The following is a 15,078-nucleotide window of genomic DNA, read 5'->3' on the forward strand; positions in this document are numbered from 1 at the left end:
CCTTTGTTGGTGCCCATAGGAGGAAGCTGAGACAATGAAGGGGGTGACAGTATCTGCCAGGTGCTGGCTCCTACTCTGTGCTGAGCCTGTTATAAATATTGTTTCAGTCCTGGAAAGCTCCGTGTGATTAGCCCAGATACAGAAAGTGAGGCTCAGAGGGCTTATGCCAGGCAGGAGAGGCCACATAGTCAGTGGCTGGCCAGCGAGTCCTGTCCACGATCCCATTTGATCTGCTCTGTAAAGTCCTCAGAGGAAAGATAGTTTTTTTTCCTTTAAATTAAGACCCTGGGAGTCAAAATGATATATGTTTACACAACAACCTGGTGGCAGAGGTGAGTATTTCACAGCCCAGGTTTAGGCATCAGGCAGACCATTGTCCAAATCCTGCATGTTGTTGGTTTCTCTAACCTTGGGAAAGTGGTTTCTCCTCTTTGAGCCTTAGTTTTCTTGTTTGTACAATGGGACATTAATACCTACTTCATCAGTAAATTGATCATTGGGATTAGTTGAGATTATACAATGAGATGCTTACTGCAGTGCCTGGCACACAGCAGGTGTCTAATGGTGACAGATGCTGCCAGGGACTCTGATTATTATTCCCATTGTCTCCCCAGAGAGGCTACTCTGCCCGGCACGAGGTCCGCCAGTTCCACTTCACAGCGTGGCCAGAGCATGGCGTCCCCTACCATGCCACGGGGCTGCTGGCTTTCATCCGGCGCGTGAAGGCCTCCACCCCACCTGATGCCGGGCCCATTGTCATCCACTGCAGGTGGGGGCACCGGGAATCCCAAGGAGAAAAGGGGCCCTTCTCCCTGGGAATTTGGGCTTGGGGTCAGGTTGGTTCAGGATCTGTAGTGGGGACCAGGCCTGGGTTCTCCTGCTTAGAGATGGAGTGCAGGAGGGAACGACCCCCAAAGGCCCTGTCCCCTTTGGCCTTTGGCTCTGAGGTTGGCATCTTCATGTGCCCCCCAAGACCTGTGAAGCCCCTTGACCCAGGTGCTGAGGAGGCACTGGAGATAGGGAGGGGCCTCCGGGCCGCTGAGGCGCCAGGCACGATTGAGTTCTGCCTGCTTTCAGTAAGCAGCTTTTTGTTGCACACCTGCCGCGTGCTAGGCCTGGCCTGGGGGTGGGAAGGACTTCACTTCTCTCCACCAAACCCAGTGGGCCTTGCCTACCCCTTGGCCTTCACACCTTCTGCAGACCCTGACTGGCTCCCGTGACCCCAGCTGCCCCTCCTCTCTCTGCTTTCTCCCTGGCTCCACATCTTTCTCTTGCTTCTTAAATGGGGACCCAGTACGCTGTCCTGGCCTGCCCTCTGTCTCCCCCTGGAGAGCGTAACCCCCAACCTTTGTGGCTTTGTCCATGGCCTCTGTGTCTCATTGCGGTTCCTCTACTGTGTTCTTATCAGCTCCCCAAATGCCGCATGGTAGAGTCGTCCTCCCTGCCCTGCCACCTAAACCAGCTTCTCTTTGATTTCTTTAGGCCTCTTTAAGATGCCATCTTTTAAAAACAAAACTTTATTGATATATAATACACTTAAAGCAAAGTGCAGAAATATGTTTAAAAATATGAATTTTCATAAACTGAGCACACTTGTGAAAAAACCAGCTCTACTGAGATTAAGAAACAGAACATTGGCTGGGCACAGGGGCTCATGCCTGTAATCTCAGCACTTTGGGAAGCCAAGGTGGGAGGATCATTTGAGGCCCAAAGTTCGAGACCAGCCTGGGCAACATAGTGAGACCTCATTGCTACAAAAATAAAAAAATTAGTGGGTTGTGGTGGCACAAGCCTGTAGTCCCAGCTACCTGTGAGGCTGAGGTGGGAAGTTTGTTTGAGTATGGGAGTTCCAGGTTACAGTAAACTGTAATTGCACCACTGTACTCCAGCCTGGGCAACAGAGCGAGACTCTGCCTCTAAAAAAAAATTTTTTTTTAAAGTTAAGAAAGGAGCAGAACATGAACAGTTCCCAGAAGCCCCCTTGAACCCGTTTCTGGCCTGAATTCCCCCATCCCCAGTCCCAGAGAAATCACTATTCTGACTTCTAAAGCGCAGTTAGTTGCACATGTTTTTGGACTTGTCATAAATGGAATCATACAGCATGTGCTCTTTGCTGTTTGTCTTCTTTCCCTGAGCCTTAGGTTTGTGAGGCTCGTCCACAGTGGATCATCGTCCATCAAGTGAATAAATGACAGTGTGTTTGTCCATTCTGCCATGATAGGCATTTGGGTTGTTTCCAGTCTTAAGCTATTATGAGTAGTGCTGCTAAGGACATTCGATCGTATGTCTTTTGGCCAAGAAATGTATTTCTTTCTGTGTGGTATGTACGTAGGAGTAGAACTGTTATCTGTGTGAACGTTCAGCTTTAGGAGATATTGCTGAGCAGTTTTACAAGGGGGTTGTGCTAAGTTAAGCCCCACCAGGGGTATTTGGGGTATTCAGTTGCTGTATGTCCTCGCTAGCACGTGGATGCCACTGTTTTCAAACCTGAAATCTTGCTGTCATCTTTGTCCACTCTCCTTCCCCCTCAGCTCTGCACAACCTTGCGTGAGGACAATGATCTTGATGTGCCCCCAGTCAAGTTAGGGAGACAGCCACATAAACAATGACCATGTAGCAGGAAGAGTGTTTTATTGAATTAATTAATTTTTTTTTTTTGAGACAGGATCTTGTTCTGTCATCCAGGCTGGAGTGCAGTGGTGTGGTCTTGGTTCACTGCAACCTCCATCTCCCGGGTTCAAGCGATTCTTCTGCCTCAGCCTCCTGAGTAGCTGGAATTACAGGCACGTGCCACCACACCCGGCTATTTTTTGTATTTTTTGGTAGAGACAGGGTTTCACTATGTTGGCCAGGCTGGTCTCGAACTCCTGACCTCAAGTGATCCACCCACTTCGGCCTCCCAGAGTGCTGGGATTACAGGCCTGAGCCACCGTGCCTGGCCACGAAGAGTGTTTTAATAAAAACCTGCCCACGTTGCTTTGGGAACTCAAAAGAATGACATCATCCTGGAAGGGTCAGGGATGCTCCAGTGGGTATGTGAATGGGTATGAGTGTGTGGGCTTTTCAAGGATGTGTAGGAGATTTGGTGGTTTTCAGGAGGAAAGAACATTCTTGAATTAGCTCGGAGGATCATCATTCCTGTTCTCTCCTAATCTTAAGTTGCTAGGTTGAGCCAGTGTCACCTTTGCATTCTCCCCACCCTCTCTCCTCTCCTTCCCTGAGGCCCATCCCATCTCTGTCCTCTAGCACATTTCACTAGAGCTCTTCCATCCAGCAGCCTGCGTCCTGGCTCCTTACTCGGGGAGGGGCAGTCATCTCTGTGTCCGTGTCCCCTGTATGGTGTAGACATGGCCAGTGCCCTCCTCTCTTCTTCTCCTTAGTCCCGGGCTTCCTCCCCAAAGCTCTGACCTGGTCTGGGGCTGCTCTCTCTCCAGCGCGGGCACCGGCCGCACAGGTTGCTATATCGTCCTGGATGTGATGCTGGACATGGCAGAGTGTGAGGGCGTCGTGGACATTTACAACTGTGTGAAGACTCTCTGCTCCCGGCGTGTCAACATGATCCAGACTGAGGTGCGGGGACCTGGCCCTGTCCCCACCATTATTACTTCTAGGACTGGAGTTTCTCGTGAAGGATCCTGGAGCCGGCAGAGCATGCCCAAAGGGTGTCCTGAGGCTCTTGCCTTCCCTCAGATCATCCCTGACCTTGGGCCGCCAACTGCATAGGGTCATCCTGAACTGCTCCCCTGTGTTCTGTTGGGTGGGGTCAGACAACCGGTCCTGTAGCTGACATACCTGGGATTGCATCCTCAGTGGATGTGTGACCGTGAGCTGTCCCCCACCTCTCAGAGCACTCACAGAGTTGTTATAGGGGGTAGGGATGAAATAGGAGATAAAGGGGCATGTCCATGGAGGTTGTTTCAGGTAGGCTTGGTCCAGCCTGTAGTAACATGGTTGGCCTCCACCTCAGGACACCCTGCTTCAACCTTGAGCTTGCTTAAGCCCCATCACCACAGATCTCCAGCTTCTAGGCCCCTCCTCGGCCTCATTCTCATCTCCTGTTCCAGGAGCAGTACATCTTCATTCATGATGCAATCCTGGAGGCCTGCCTGTGTGGGGAGACCACCATCCCTGTCAGTGAGTTCAAGGCCACCTACAAGGAGATGATCCGCATTGATCCTCAGAGTAATTCCTCCCAGCTGCGGGAAGAGTTCCAGGTGGGGGATGAGTGCGTGTGTATAGGTGTGTGTGTGTGTGTCTGTGTGTGTGTTGGGGCATCCTTAATACTGCAGGAGTCATTGAGGGCCAAGAAGCAGGGACCAGCCTGAGGCCACAGCTGGAGGGACAGAGCTGAGCTACCAGGAAGGACTTTGGGACAGCGGAAGATGGGGTGCATCAAAGCAGTTAAGAGCCCAGGCTTTGAAGTCAGATAAACCCAGGTTCAAATCCTGGCTTACCTAGTTAAGAGCTGTGAGTATCCTTGAACAGTTCCCTTTACCTCTCTGAGCCTCAGTTTTGTTACCCAGAGAAGAGAAGTAGTTAATATGTCCCTTGGGGTGTTTGTATTCATTGGGATTCTTTTGGTTGTGAGTGATGAAAATCCAGCTTTTATAACTGAAAAGTCTGAGGATCGTGCAGCTTCAGTTGTAGCTGGATCCAGGGGCTCAGATGATGATGCCAACAGGTGGTTTCTGTCTGCCTTGGTTCTGCTCTCCTATTTTTGGCTTCATTCTCAGACCTGCACCTGGCCGCCAGCAGTGCTGGGCTCCCATCATCTCTATTGTCTGGTGACTTAGGAAAAAGGCGCTTGCTGCTCCCAGCATCCCCCCAACAGTCCTAGATCAGACTTTCATGTTCCCATCCCTGGACCAGTCACAGGTTGGAGAGGTGGAGCTCACTGATTGCCCCTGGCTCTGGTCACATGCCCAAGGCCTGGCTCTTGGGGCAGGACCAGCCTCACCATATCACATGGCTGAGATGGGAAAAGGCTGGTTCTCCAGAGAAGCCTGAGAGCGATCACTGGGTGGCAGAGACCTCAGAAGTCCCCTCCACTCCAGGGTTCCTGCAGTGGCTCAGCAGGATGGCACGTGCTGGGGACCTGGCACTTCTCACAGGAGGTGCAGGGTTCCCGGAGGAGGGTGTCAGGCTTTGGGGATCATGATAGACTGTGGTTCCCTGTGAGGGATCTCCAAGAACAAGAGAAAGAAACTGAGAGCCCCTGGGTCTGGATGCGTGAGGTGTGAAGGCATGCGGGCGGAGGAGATGCCCCGGAGATCCAGGTGTGATTCAGTGCCCGGTGCTTAGGACTTCATTCTGTTCAGACAGGGCCGTGACCAAGGAACGTGACCCCCTCTCCACGTGCCTGGAGTCCGCTTCTTGGAGGGTGTGGGGTTTCAGGGGTTGCCTCAGTGAAGGCACTGGTCAGCTAGTAAAGTTCCTCACTGTGCCCGTGTGTGCCGAGCTCAGCCCAGTGCTTGTCATGATCTCACTTTGGCCTCCCAGCAGCCCCATGAAGTAGGCATATTACTTCCCTATTTCACAGTCGAGGAAACTGAGGCTGAGAGATGCAGTAGCTTGTCTGAGGTTATGTGGGTGGCAAGGAGGTAGACTCTGGTCTCTAGAGCTCTATCCAGGCCCTATAATGGCCTAGAGACAGGGAGTCTGGCTCCGTGCCCTGTACCCTTCTCTCTGGACCTCAGTTTCTCCATCCATAAAATGGGATTAGTAACTCAGTCCAGCCTCCTTCATGGGGATGTGAGGAGGCCCAGCAAGCCCTGGACGTAACTCTCTGTCCCCACCCCCGCTCCCTGTAGACGCTGAACTCGGTCACCCCGCCGCTGGACGTGGAGGAGTGCAGCATCGCCCTGTTGCCCCGGAACCGCGACAAGAACCGCAGCATGGACGTCCTGCCGCCCGACCGCTGCCTGCCCTTCCTCATCTCCACTGATGGGGACTCCAACAACTACATTAATGCAGCCCTGACTGACGTGAGAGCTTGGGGTGGAGTGGGCTCTGGGGCTCCCCTTCCCAGCAGCATCAGGGAAGGTCCAGGGGCCACGGGAACAAAGCTGAAGGCTCTGTTGGGGGGACCCCTGCCCATTCTGGGGAACAGGCCTGTGTGTGACCCTCCTACTCCTAGGGAGCTTCCATTCAGGGCATTCAAGCCAGTGCCCCCCACACTCTGCCTCAGTGGGGTCTGGTTGTGGAGTTCAGGCAGGGCTGTCTCCAAGATTAGGCCCAGCAGAGCCTGGGGTAGGATGAGTGATTCAGGGGACTTTGGCTGGGGAGACCTCGAGGGTTTGGGGATGGAACTCGAGACCTGATGTCTGGAAGCAGGGGAGCTTGTCCTGGGGAGAATGAGCTGGAGTCTGCTCCAGGACCAGGCCTGGGACAGTGATCTCTGGCCCCATTCTTCCCTGGGTGGGCATGGGCCCTCTGAGGGCTCAGGAGCCTTTTAGAAGTCTCTTTCCCTGCTTCAAGCTCAGGGGCTCTGCCTCCTTTACTGAGGGTTGCAAGCAGCTCAGGAGATGGGTGCTGGCATTTTAGTCCCCTGCTAAATGGCTCCAAGATGCTGCTGTCTGAGGCGGGAAGGGTCTAGGATTATTATCCCTATTCCTCTGCCACACTGGAACCAGTTCAGATATAGACACAGGAGACACACGGGTGGAGATCATATGTTATAGATAAAACTGGAGATGGAGTTTGAGATGTGTGGCCAGTTGGTGGGCCGCTCCTTCACCCCTCCCCGATATAGCCGTGCAACCGCAGGCCACCCCTCCCCGTCAGGGACTGGCCTTTACTGGCAGGGAGCAGGAGCAATTGAGTGCACACTTTCCAAGGGTAGGCTGGCCTGGAAAAAGAGGAAGGAGTGGAGCCAAGCAGCCTCGCTCATGGGAGGAGTGAGTGAAGGATGGGCCAGGGCCAGGTGTGTCACTGCTGCGTCTCTCCACGCGGAAATGAGGGATGCCGATGGGGAAGGTTCTCCCACAGCGGTTAAGAGGGAGATGGGCTTTTTGCGGCCTGATGCCTGGCCAGGAACTCCTTGGCAGGACAGTGCGGGGGACAGCGGGGTTTCTTTAAAGAGGGTAACCACCCAGGGGGCTTCCGGGTGTCAGCTGAAGGGGAGGGGAAGAGCTGCCCTAGCCACTGATGAGAGATGTGAGGGGCCCATCAGTCACTGTCACTCAGCTTGGTGGATGGAATGTGTGTGCCCACATGCTCGCCGGGGGACATCTGGCCTGCTGAGGGGTCAGGGGTCCTGGAGGGGTGGCATGTAGTACCGGGAAGATCTTTGAACTAAACTTAGGAAGCTGTGCCCTCCCGCCCAGCCCCCTCCTTGGCCTTGGTGTGCCCATCTGCACATTGGGGGCCTGGAAAGGAGACTGTCTGAGGGTCCTGAGCTGGGGCTCCCTGGCCCTGATGGGTGGGTTATCACGTGGAAAAGTTCTGAGACAGCCCTGTCCCCTCCTGAGGTCCTTGATGCCTCTGACGTCTGACCCCAGCCATGCAGGTCCTATTGGCTTGGAGCCAGGAGGCCCCATTTCTCAGACAGGCCCTGAACTCGTCAGTGAGGGGCCAGCTGGAGTCTTTGTGGTGGTCAAGTCTGCAAGGAGCCCTGTTGGGCACCCAGGCCTGAGTTTTGGAATCTGGCTGGGCCTGGCCTTGAGGAGTTGTTAATCAGGAGCCTTCAGAGAGTCCTGGAGAGAGATCGCTGGGGGACCAGGGGGGCTCTTTGTTTCTCTGCACTGCACCTTGCAGGATTACAAAGGGCAGATCAATATTTGGTTAGGGCCCAAGTCAGGGTCAAGGCCAGAAGAAGCCAGACAAAGACCAGGGTCATGGGAGCTTGTGCCAGCCCCTAGGTCAGGAGGAAGACTGGGGGACAGGAGAAGAGCTCGGGGAAGGGAGGGGGGACATGGCACAGGGTGGGGCAGGGCAGGTCACCAGGGGAGGCTGGGAGCTAGATCTTTAATGGGAGAAGGCCGGGTGCCAGCCCCCCTGGCAGGACGAGGGAGCAGTGAGCAGCGTCGGGGCCTGTCACTGCCTGGAGAGCCTGGGGCCCCAGACCCTTCACTTATGGAGTTGGAAGGGACCTAGAGATTTATTCAAAATATTTATTGAGCCCCTACAGGGTTCTGGGTGGAGACCATACCCTAGAAGCTCTGCTCTCCTGAACCTTGCTTTTAGCAGGTGGAGTGGGATAGTCAGGAAATATACAATGAAATGTCATCAACTGGAAATTTCTACAAAAACAGCCAGGCAGTGTTTAATGTGGATTTGGGGTGTGTGTGGGGCTATTTTTGATGAGGTGGTGGGGGAGGGCTTCTTTGAGGAGGTGATAAGTAAAGACCAGAAGGAAGTGAGGGAGACAGCCATATAGACATTTGGGAAATTTGGCCTAGGCAGCCAAAATAGCAGATGCCGAAGCGCGGAGGCAGGGAGTAAGCTCGGCCAGCCTCTGCCTTGAGCTCAGCCTCATGCCCAAGCTCCCCTCGCCATACCTTTGGAAACTTTTGCTGTTTAGTTCTGGGGGGTCATGGGCTTGGTCCCCAGAGGCCTGGGCCCACCCTGTCAACCCAGGCCTCAGTGTGCCAACCAACATCAGAAATGGCCCACTGGAGGCAGCCTGGTCCTGTGGGGCACAACCGTCCAACTCAGGGTGGGCAGTGCGGGAAGACAGCCTGGGGCAGAGGCTCAGCCCAGGCCAGGGGCCGGGAACAGGGCCCTGCTGAGTTCCGGTTTCCCTGCAGAGCTACACACGGAGTGCGGCCTTCATCGTGACCCTGCACCCGCTGCAGAGCACCACGCCCGACTTCTGGCGGCTGGTCTACGATTACGGGTGCACCTCCATCGTCATGCTCAACCAGCTGAACCAGTCCAACTCCGCCTGGGTGAGGCCTCCACTGGCCAGGCCAATGGGCCGCCTGCTCCCAGGTCCTCTGTGTATTCAGGGCCATGGTCCCCAAAGCCAAAAGTTGGGTCCCAGCTCTGCCATCTATTTATTGTGTGATGAATCATACACCTTCCCAGAGCCTCAGTTTCTTCATCTGTAAAACAAGGGTGTCAGATGGGAGATCACTAGTTGCTCTTTTTCTTTTCTTTTTTTTGAGACAAGGTCTCACTCTTTTGCCCAGGCTGGAGTGCAGTGGCGCGATCACAGCTCACTAAGTTGTGCAGCCTCGACCTCTTGGGCCCAAGCCATCCTTCCACCTCAGCCTATCGAGTAGCTGGGACTACAGGCTGCATCACCACAGCTGTCTGATTTTTTTTTTTTTTTTTTTTTTTCAGTAGAGACAAGGTCTCACTGTGTTGCCTGGACTGGTCTCGAACACCTGGCCTCAAGTGATCCTCCCACCTTGGTCTCCCAAAGAACTGGGATTATAGGCATGAGCCACTGCCTCTGGCCACAGTTGCTCTTTATTGGCCCCCTGCTAAGCCAGGGACTGCTTTGCACTCATGGTCTTATTTAGAATCTATAATGACCTTGGAGGGAAGGCTTCAGTGAGAAAATTAAGACCCAAAGAGGTTCAGTGCCTTCTCCAGGGCCACATGGCTGGGGAGGGGCAGAGCTGTGCTCCCCAGCCTCAGCTGCCTCATTCCAGAGCTTCTGCTCTTTTAGTCACTCCACTAAAGCGCCCATCATGGGGGCCTCCGAGGTAGAGTACAATTCAAGCCTCCTACTTTCTGACTGTTTGATCTAGGGTAAGTTGATTGACCTCTTTTGAGTTTTACTTTCCTTCTCTGTAAAATGGGGGCCATCATAGGACCTGTTCTTGTGGGGTTATTGTGAGGACCAGGTCAGGTGTGCATAGGATATGTGGCACTGCTGTGTCTGCTGCACAGTAGGCATGTGGTATGTGGCAGGGACAAAGATGATGAGGGTGACAGTTGTATCTGAGATTGGCCCAGACACTGGTTCAGTGACCTCAGCCTGGGGGCAGCCCCTCTGACTCCCCTGTTTCCCTTTGGAGCTCCCAAGAAGTACAGATACCCAGCCTTCCAGCCCTGCCTGACCATGTGCTTTAGGTCTCTGGACCCCTTCCCACCCCAGCTTTCTGCTGGGCCCAGGGGGCTAGGAAGATTTGCTGTAAAATGAGTACAACAGCTTCTTAATGGCCTCCTTGAGAAGATTGCATTAACTGGGCTCTTTATGAGTCAGGCACTTTGTGAAAATGACCCAGGACTACAGGATAATGGGCCTCAGCCCTGGTGCAGCAGGAACCATCCTTGCTAGGGTAGAGGGGAGAGGCCCAGAGGGAGGCTCACAGAGATGTAGTTCACTGGGCACTGATTTGCTCATCTGCTCAACCAACTTTGCCCATGAACAGCTCCCTGCAGTGGGCAGGGAGGAGACAGAGGGAGAAGAGACACAGCCCCTCCCAGATCTCATGGTCCAGGAGGAAACAGGTAGAAAAACTGATAGTGACAGCACAGAGGGAAAAGAGCTATGAAAGAGCTGGCACAGGGACAGAGAAGTCCGGGGGATCATGTATCGGCGATGGCTTCCTGGAGGAGGTAGTGTCTGAGCTGAGATGTGTGGGAAGGGCAGAATTAACTAGGTGAGGAGGTGGAGGAAGAGAGACCCGTGGAGAGGGAGCAGCCTGTGCAGGGTTCTGAACGCACAGGGTTGCCAGGACCTGAGGCAAAATGAGGAAGGTGGTGTCCTCCTGTCCTGGGCTGTGGTCAGAGGGGATTGATGAGCACGGTGTCTTTTTGGGAGAGGATGGGAGTCATTTTACCGACGGAGAAACTGAGGCCAAGAGAAAGGAAGAGCCTTTCCTGGGCTTCAGGCAGAGCTGAGACTAGAAACTGAGGCTCAGGATACTTAGCCTGGAGGATGTGTGTGTGTATTTGTACGTGTGTTTGTGTGTGTTAGGTCATAGGGCTGTACCTCCTCTGTCCCTCCACAGTCTGGAGTCTGGGAGGGGGTTGTATTTAGGACCCTGACTCCATGGAGGGGTCCTGGGGCAGAAGTGGGGGTACTGAACTGTGTTGCAGCATCAGGGACACCCCACCTCTGTGAGCTGGTGCTGAAGGGCAGAGGCAGTGAGAGAGAAGGCTGGGGGGAGGTTCTGGGGTGGGTGGGAGTGATCCAGGCCTATTCCTGGAAGCAGGCAGCCTCATGTAGGAGCGTGTGAACCGGTTAAGGTGTAGCTTTCTAGCTGCACAGCAGTAGGCATCAGTGCAGTTTGCAAAGGGTTCATCTTGGCTGATCTGAACGTGTCAGTGCAGAACGCATTGGGGCAGGTGGGCCTTGCAGCCTGTGGGCAACTGGTGGTGATTGGGGGAGCTGCTGAAGGTGAGTCTGGAGTGAGTGGGTGGGCCAGGGTTCGTGGGAGCCACAGGGCAAGTGTGGAGCCCTTGGGGTGGGCATGGCTGTGGGGTGAGCCCCGGCCAGGCTCTACTCAGCTCTCCCCTCTCCGTGCTTATGCCCAGCCCTGCCTGCAGTACTGGCCAGAGCCAGGCCGGCAGCAATATGGCCTCATGGAGGTGGAGTTTATGTCGGGCACAGCTGATGAAGACTTAGTGGCTCGAGTCTTCCGGGTGCAGAACATCTCTCGGGTGAGTGGTCTGAGGAGCCCCAGGGAAGGACCCTGGGTGGTGGCTGGGGCAGCTTTTAATGACCCTCTGTGTCATCAGGGGCCCCTGGGACCCTGGTGCTCATGTCCTCCCTGGCTGGCTGCCCCTGTCCCCAGTTGCAGGAGGGGCACCTGCTGGTGCGGCACTTCCAGTTCCTGCGCTGGTCTGCATACCGGGACACACCTGACTCCAAGAAGGCCTTCTTGCACCTGCTGGCTGAGGTGGACAAGTGGCAGGCCGAGAGTGGGGATGGGCGCACCATCGTGCACTGCCTGTGAGTACCTGCCCTGTGGGAGGGCGGGTGGAGGGGTTGGGGAGCCAGGGGCAGAGGTCCAGTCTGAAAGGGTGCCAGCTTTGGCTGGACTGCAAAGCTGGCACCGAAACCCCTGGGCTCTTAGATGGCTGTGGCCAGGATGCTGCCCAACCAGCCAAGGCTGGCCCTGGAGGAATCCAGTGAGTTTCCAGGCTATAGACTCAGCCCTGAACAACTGCCCAGTATCCTCTGTGTGATGTCTGACTTTGCCAATTTAATTAGAGTCCTTGGTCAGAATTTTTTACCCCATGAGATTGTGGCACACTTTTATGCCAATAGAATTCCAGTCTTTGTTCATGCATGCACACATGTGACTTTTTCCATCCATCCATCCATCCACCCATCCATCCATCCATCCATCTGCATGCCCCATTCATAAGTTCATGTATTCACTCATGTCTGGGTGCAGTCACTCCTTTGCTCCCCACTTTTTCATGCTTTCAGCATTTACTGAGCCTTTCGAGTGGCAGGCTGGGCCTACTGGAAGCTGGTGCGGAGCTGAGTCAGTCCGGGTCTGGCCCCCAGGGGTTTTGGTTCTGGTGGGAAAGACCCCTGAGAAGGGGAGTGAGGGCCGCATCAGTCTGCCATTCCCCAGGAGGCACCCCACACGTGGAGTCACAGGGAAGGAGGGAGAGGCACGGAGGGGATGGAGCTCTGTGGGAGGCTGTGGGTTTGACTTGGGGTTTGGGTACGTTTGTGCCTGTGTGCCCACGATGCCAGGTGGTGACCAGTCTTCTCAGCATTCCTGTTCCACCTTGCTCTCTGGGTACGCGCTTGCTGCTCCTCCGCCCTTCTTTGTCACTGTCTTTGTCTCTCCGGGTGTTTCTCTTGGAGTGTGTCTGGCCTCCTTTCTCTCAGAATCCGCAGTCTGTTTCGCCTTGAGAATATGTCTTCTGAGATGTCTTAGCCTCTGATCCTTCTTAACCTGGTCCTGCTCCTCCCTCTGGGTTCCCTAGCCCCGCCCCTTACCTCTGGGTCCTCTGCCCCGCCCTTCTGAGTTCCCTAGTTCTGCCCCTCACCTTGGGCTCTTTGGCCCTCCTTAGTTTCCTAGCCCCGCCCCTCACCTCTGGACTCTTTGGCCCCTCCTTTCTGGGTTTCCTAGCTCTGCCCCTCATCTCTGGGCTCTTTGGCCTCTTCCTTCTGGGTTCCCTAGCTCCGCCCCTCTCCTCTAGGCTCTCGGGCCCCTCCTTTCTGTGTTCTCTAACTCCGCCCCTCACCTCTGGGCTCTCTGCCCCACCCTTCTAGATTCCCTAGCTCCGTCCCTCTCCTCTAGGCTCTCTGCCCCTCCCTCGTGGTTCCCTGGCCCTTTTCTTACCTTCAGGTTCCAAGGCCCCGCCCCTCAGCTTTTGCATCTCTCATTCAGAAACGGGGGAGGACGCAGCGGCACCTTCTGCGCCTGCGCCACGGTCCTGGAGATGATCCGCTGCCACAACTTGGTGGACGTTTTCTTTGCTGCCAAAACCCTCCGGAACTACAAACCCAACATGGTGGAGACCATGGTGAGGGGCTGTGTCCCGTGCCCAGCCACTTCCACCTTCCTGGTCCATGCCAGGCCAGGTTCCTTAGCACCCACTCTCCCATATCTGGGCCCCACCACTGGGCCTTGGTTCTAGCCCTGTGGTCCTAAAACATTACCCCCATTTCTCCCTTCTCCCCGAGGGCGGGCCTGGGCTCGGGCTCGTGCTTGCCCTCTCACTCCCCGTTCCCCTCCCCCCACAATACTGGAGTTGGGGTCAGGCTCATGATTCCCTCCCTCTCTTCCTCTCCCCAGGATCAGTACCACTTTTGCTACGATGTGGCCCTGGAGTACTTGGAGGGGCTGGAGTCAAGATAGCGGGGCCCTGGCCTGGGGCACCCACTGCACACTCAGGGCCAGACCCACCATCCTGGACTGGCGAGGAAGATCAGTGCCTCCTGCTCTGCCCAAACACACTCCCATGGGGCAAGCACTGGAGTGGATGCTGGGCTATCTTGCTCCCCCTTCCACTGTGGGCAGGGCCTTTCGCTTGTCCCATGGGCGGGTGGTGGGCCAAGGAGGAGCTTAGCAAGTCTGCAGCCCAGCCCCACCTCCATAGGGTCCTGCAGGCCTGTGCTGAGAGGCCTGGTGCTGCCTGGCAGAGTGACAAAGGCTCAGGACGGCTGGCTCTGGGGGACTCAGGCCAAGCCCCTTGGCACCATCCTGGCTTTTGGCAGGGATGAGTGAGGCCCTGCAGAGAGCATCCCAGGCCAAGGTTCCCACTCAGCCTGCCCCCTCTGCATGTGGGTAGAGGATGTACTGGGACTTGGCATTTAGGATTCCATCTGGCCCAGCCCCTGAAGGTCCTGGGGAAGCAGGTCTCAATTCTGAATAGCCAGTGGGGCACACTGACTGTCCTCCCCAGGGGAACTGCAGCGCCCTCCTCCCCACTGCCCCCTGCAGCCCCTGAGATATTTTGCTCACTATCCCTCCCCACTTGCTTCCCTGATATGTGCTCTGAGCTTCCCTGAACCAGGATCTGCCTATTACTGCTGTGCCCCATGGGGGGCTCCTTCCCTGCCTGACCCACTGTTGCAGAATGAAGTCACCTCGCCCCCCTCTTCCTTTAATCTTCAGGCCTCACTGGCCTGTCCTGCTCAGCTTGGGCCAGTGACAATCTGCAAGGCTGAACAACAGCCCCTGGGGTTGAGGCCCCTGTGGCTCCTGGTCAGGCTGCCCGTTGTGGGGAGGGGCAGTGTTAGAGCAGGGCTGGTCATACCCTCTGGAGTTCAGAGGAAGAGGTAGGACCAGTGCTTTTTTGTTTCTTTTGTTATTTTTGGTTGGGTGGGTGGGAAGGTCTCTTTAAAATGGGGCAGGCCACACCCCCATTCCGTGCCTCAATTTCCCCATCTGTAAACTGTAGATATGACTACTGACCTACCTCGCAGGGGGCTGTGGGGAGGCATAAGCTGATGTTTGTAAAGCGCTTTGTAAATAAACGTGCTCTCTGAATGCCACAGAGCAGCCCTGTGTGTGTCTCACCAGCCTGACGGGGCCTGCTCACCTGCCCCCAGCCTCCAGTGCAGTGGGAGGGCCCTGGAGAAGCCTGGGTTCTGATCTGGTCCTGGTTTTTCCATTCGTAAAATGGTGGGAGTGTGGACCAGGACATCACTCAGGGTCCTTCCACTTTCAGAGTTGGTTCCAAGGGACCCTGGCCATTGCTGTCCCCATC

General features: G+C 55.3%; 1 protein-coding gene across 4 annotated transcripts in view, besides 7 other annotated features; it reads left to right on the forward strand.

Annotated features, from left to right (window-relative positions):
- The window catches only part of PTPRU (protein tyrosine phosphatase receptor type U), a 90,279-nt gene extending 75,416 nt beyond the window's left edge, over positions 1–14,863 (forward strand). For 3 of the 4 annotated variants that reach the window (NM_005704.5, NM_133178.4, NM_001195001.2), the window contains 9 exons: positions 615–769; positions 3,435–3,570; positions 4,065–4,214; positions 5,811–5,984; positions 8,748–8,888; positions 11,434–11,559; positions 11,694–11,851; positions 13,254–13,389; positions 13,662–14,863. In NM_005704.5, coding sequence (NP_005695.3) covers positions 615–769; positions 3,435–3,570; positions 4,065–4,214; positions 5,811–5,984; positions 8,748–8,888; positions 11,434–11,559; positions 11,694–11,851; positions 13,254–13,389; positions 13,662–13,724 — 1,239 coding nt within the window. In that variant the 3' untranslated portion in view covers positions 13,725–14,863. The remainder of the gene's footprint in view (positions 1–614; positions 770–3,434; positions 3,571–4,064; positions 4,215–5,810; positions 5,985–8,747; positions 8,889–11,433; positions 11,560–11,693; positions 11,852–13,253; positions 13,390–13,661) is intronic. The other variant, NM_133177.4, reaches the window with a different exon arrangement.
- Positions 314–891: an enhancer, noted in NCBI's record as "H3K4me1 hESC enhancer chr1:29638763-29639340 (GRCh37/hg19 assembly coordinates)". NCBI's record gives its function as "activates a minimal SCP1, AML or CMV promoter by ChIP-STARR-seq in primed H9 embryonic stem cells {active_cell/tissue: H9 hESC(primed)}" and the evidence as "EXISTENCE:reporter gene assay evidence [ECO:0000049][PMID:30033119]".
- Positions 892–1,467: an enhancer, noted in NCBI's record as "H3K4me1 hESC enhancer chr1:29639341-29639916 (GRCh37/hg19 assembly coordinates)". NCBI's record gives its function as "activates a minimal SCP1, AML or CMV promoter by ChIP-STARR-seq in primed H9 embryonic stem cells {active_cell/tissue: H9 hESC(primed)}" and the evidence as "EXISTENCE:reporter gene assay evidence [ECO:0000049][PMID:30033119]".
- Positions 892–1,494: a biological region, named in NCBI's record as "Sharpr-MPRA regulatory region 13643".
- Positions 1,200–1,494: a silencer, noted in NCBI's record as "tiled region #13643; K562 Repressive DNase matched - State 20:ReprD". NCBI's record gives its function as "represses a minimal TATA promoter and a strong SV40 promoter by Sharpr-MPRA in K562 cells {active_cell/tissue: K562}" and the evidence as "EXISTENCE:reporter gene assay evidence [ECO:0000049][PMID:27701403]".
- Positions 13,025–13,830: an enhancer, noted in NCBI's record as "H3K27ac-H3K4me1 hESC enhancer chr1:29651474-29652279 (GRCh37/hg19 assembly coordinates)". NCBI's record gives its function as "activates a minimal SCP1, AML or CMV promoter by ChIP-STARR-seq in naive H9 embryonic stem cells {active_cell/tissue: H9 hESC(naive)}" and the evidence as "EXISTENCE:reporter gene assay evidence [ECO:0000049][PMID:30033119]".
- Positions 13,025–14,054: a biological region, named in NCBI's record as "Sharpr-MPRA regulatory region 8387".
- Positions 13,760–14,054: a silencer, noted in NCBI's record as "tiled region #8387; K562 Repressive non-DNase unmatched - State 7:EnhWF". NCBI's record gives its function as "represses a minimal TATA promoter and a strong SV40 promoter by Sharpr-MPRA in K562 cells {active_cell/tissue: K562}" and the evidence as "EXISTENCE:reporter gene assay evidence [ECO:0000049][PMID:27701403]".

Source organism: Homo sapiens, chromosome 1 (assembly GCF_000001405.40).
Source record: "Homo sapiens chromosome 1, GRCh38.p14 Primary Assembly".
Taxonomy (NCBI): domain Eukaryota; kingdom Metazoa; phylum Chordata; class Mammalia; order Primates; family Hominidae; genus Homo; species Homo sapiens.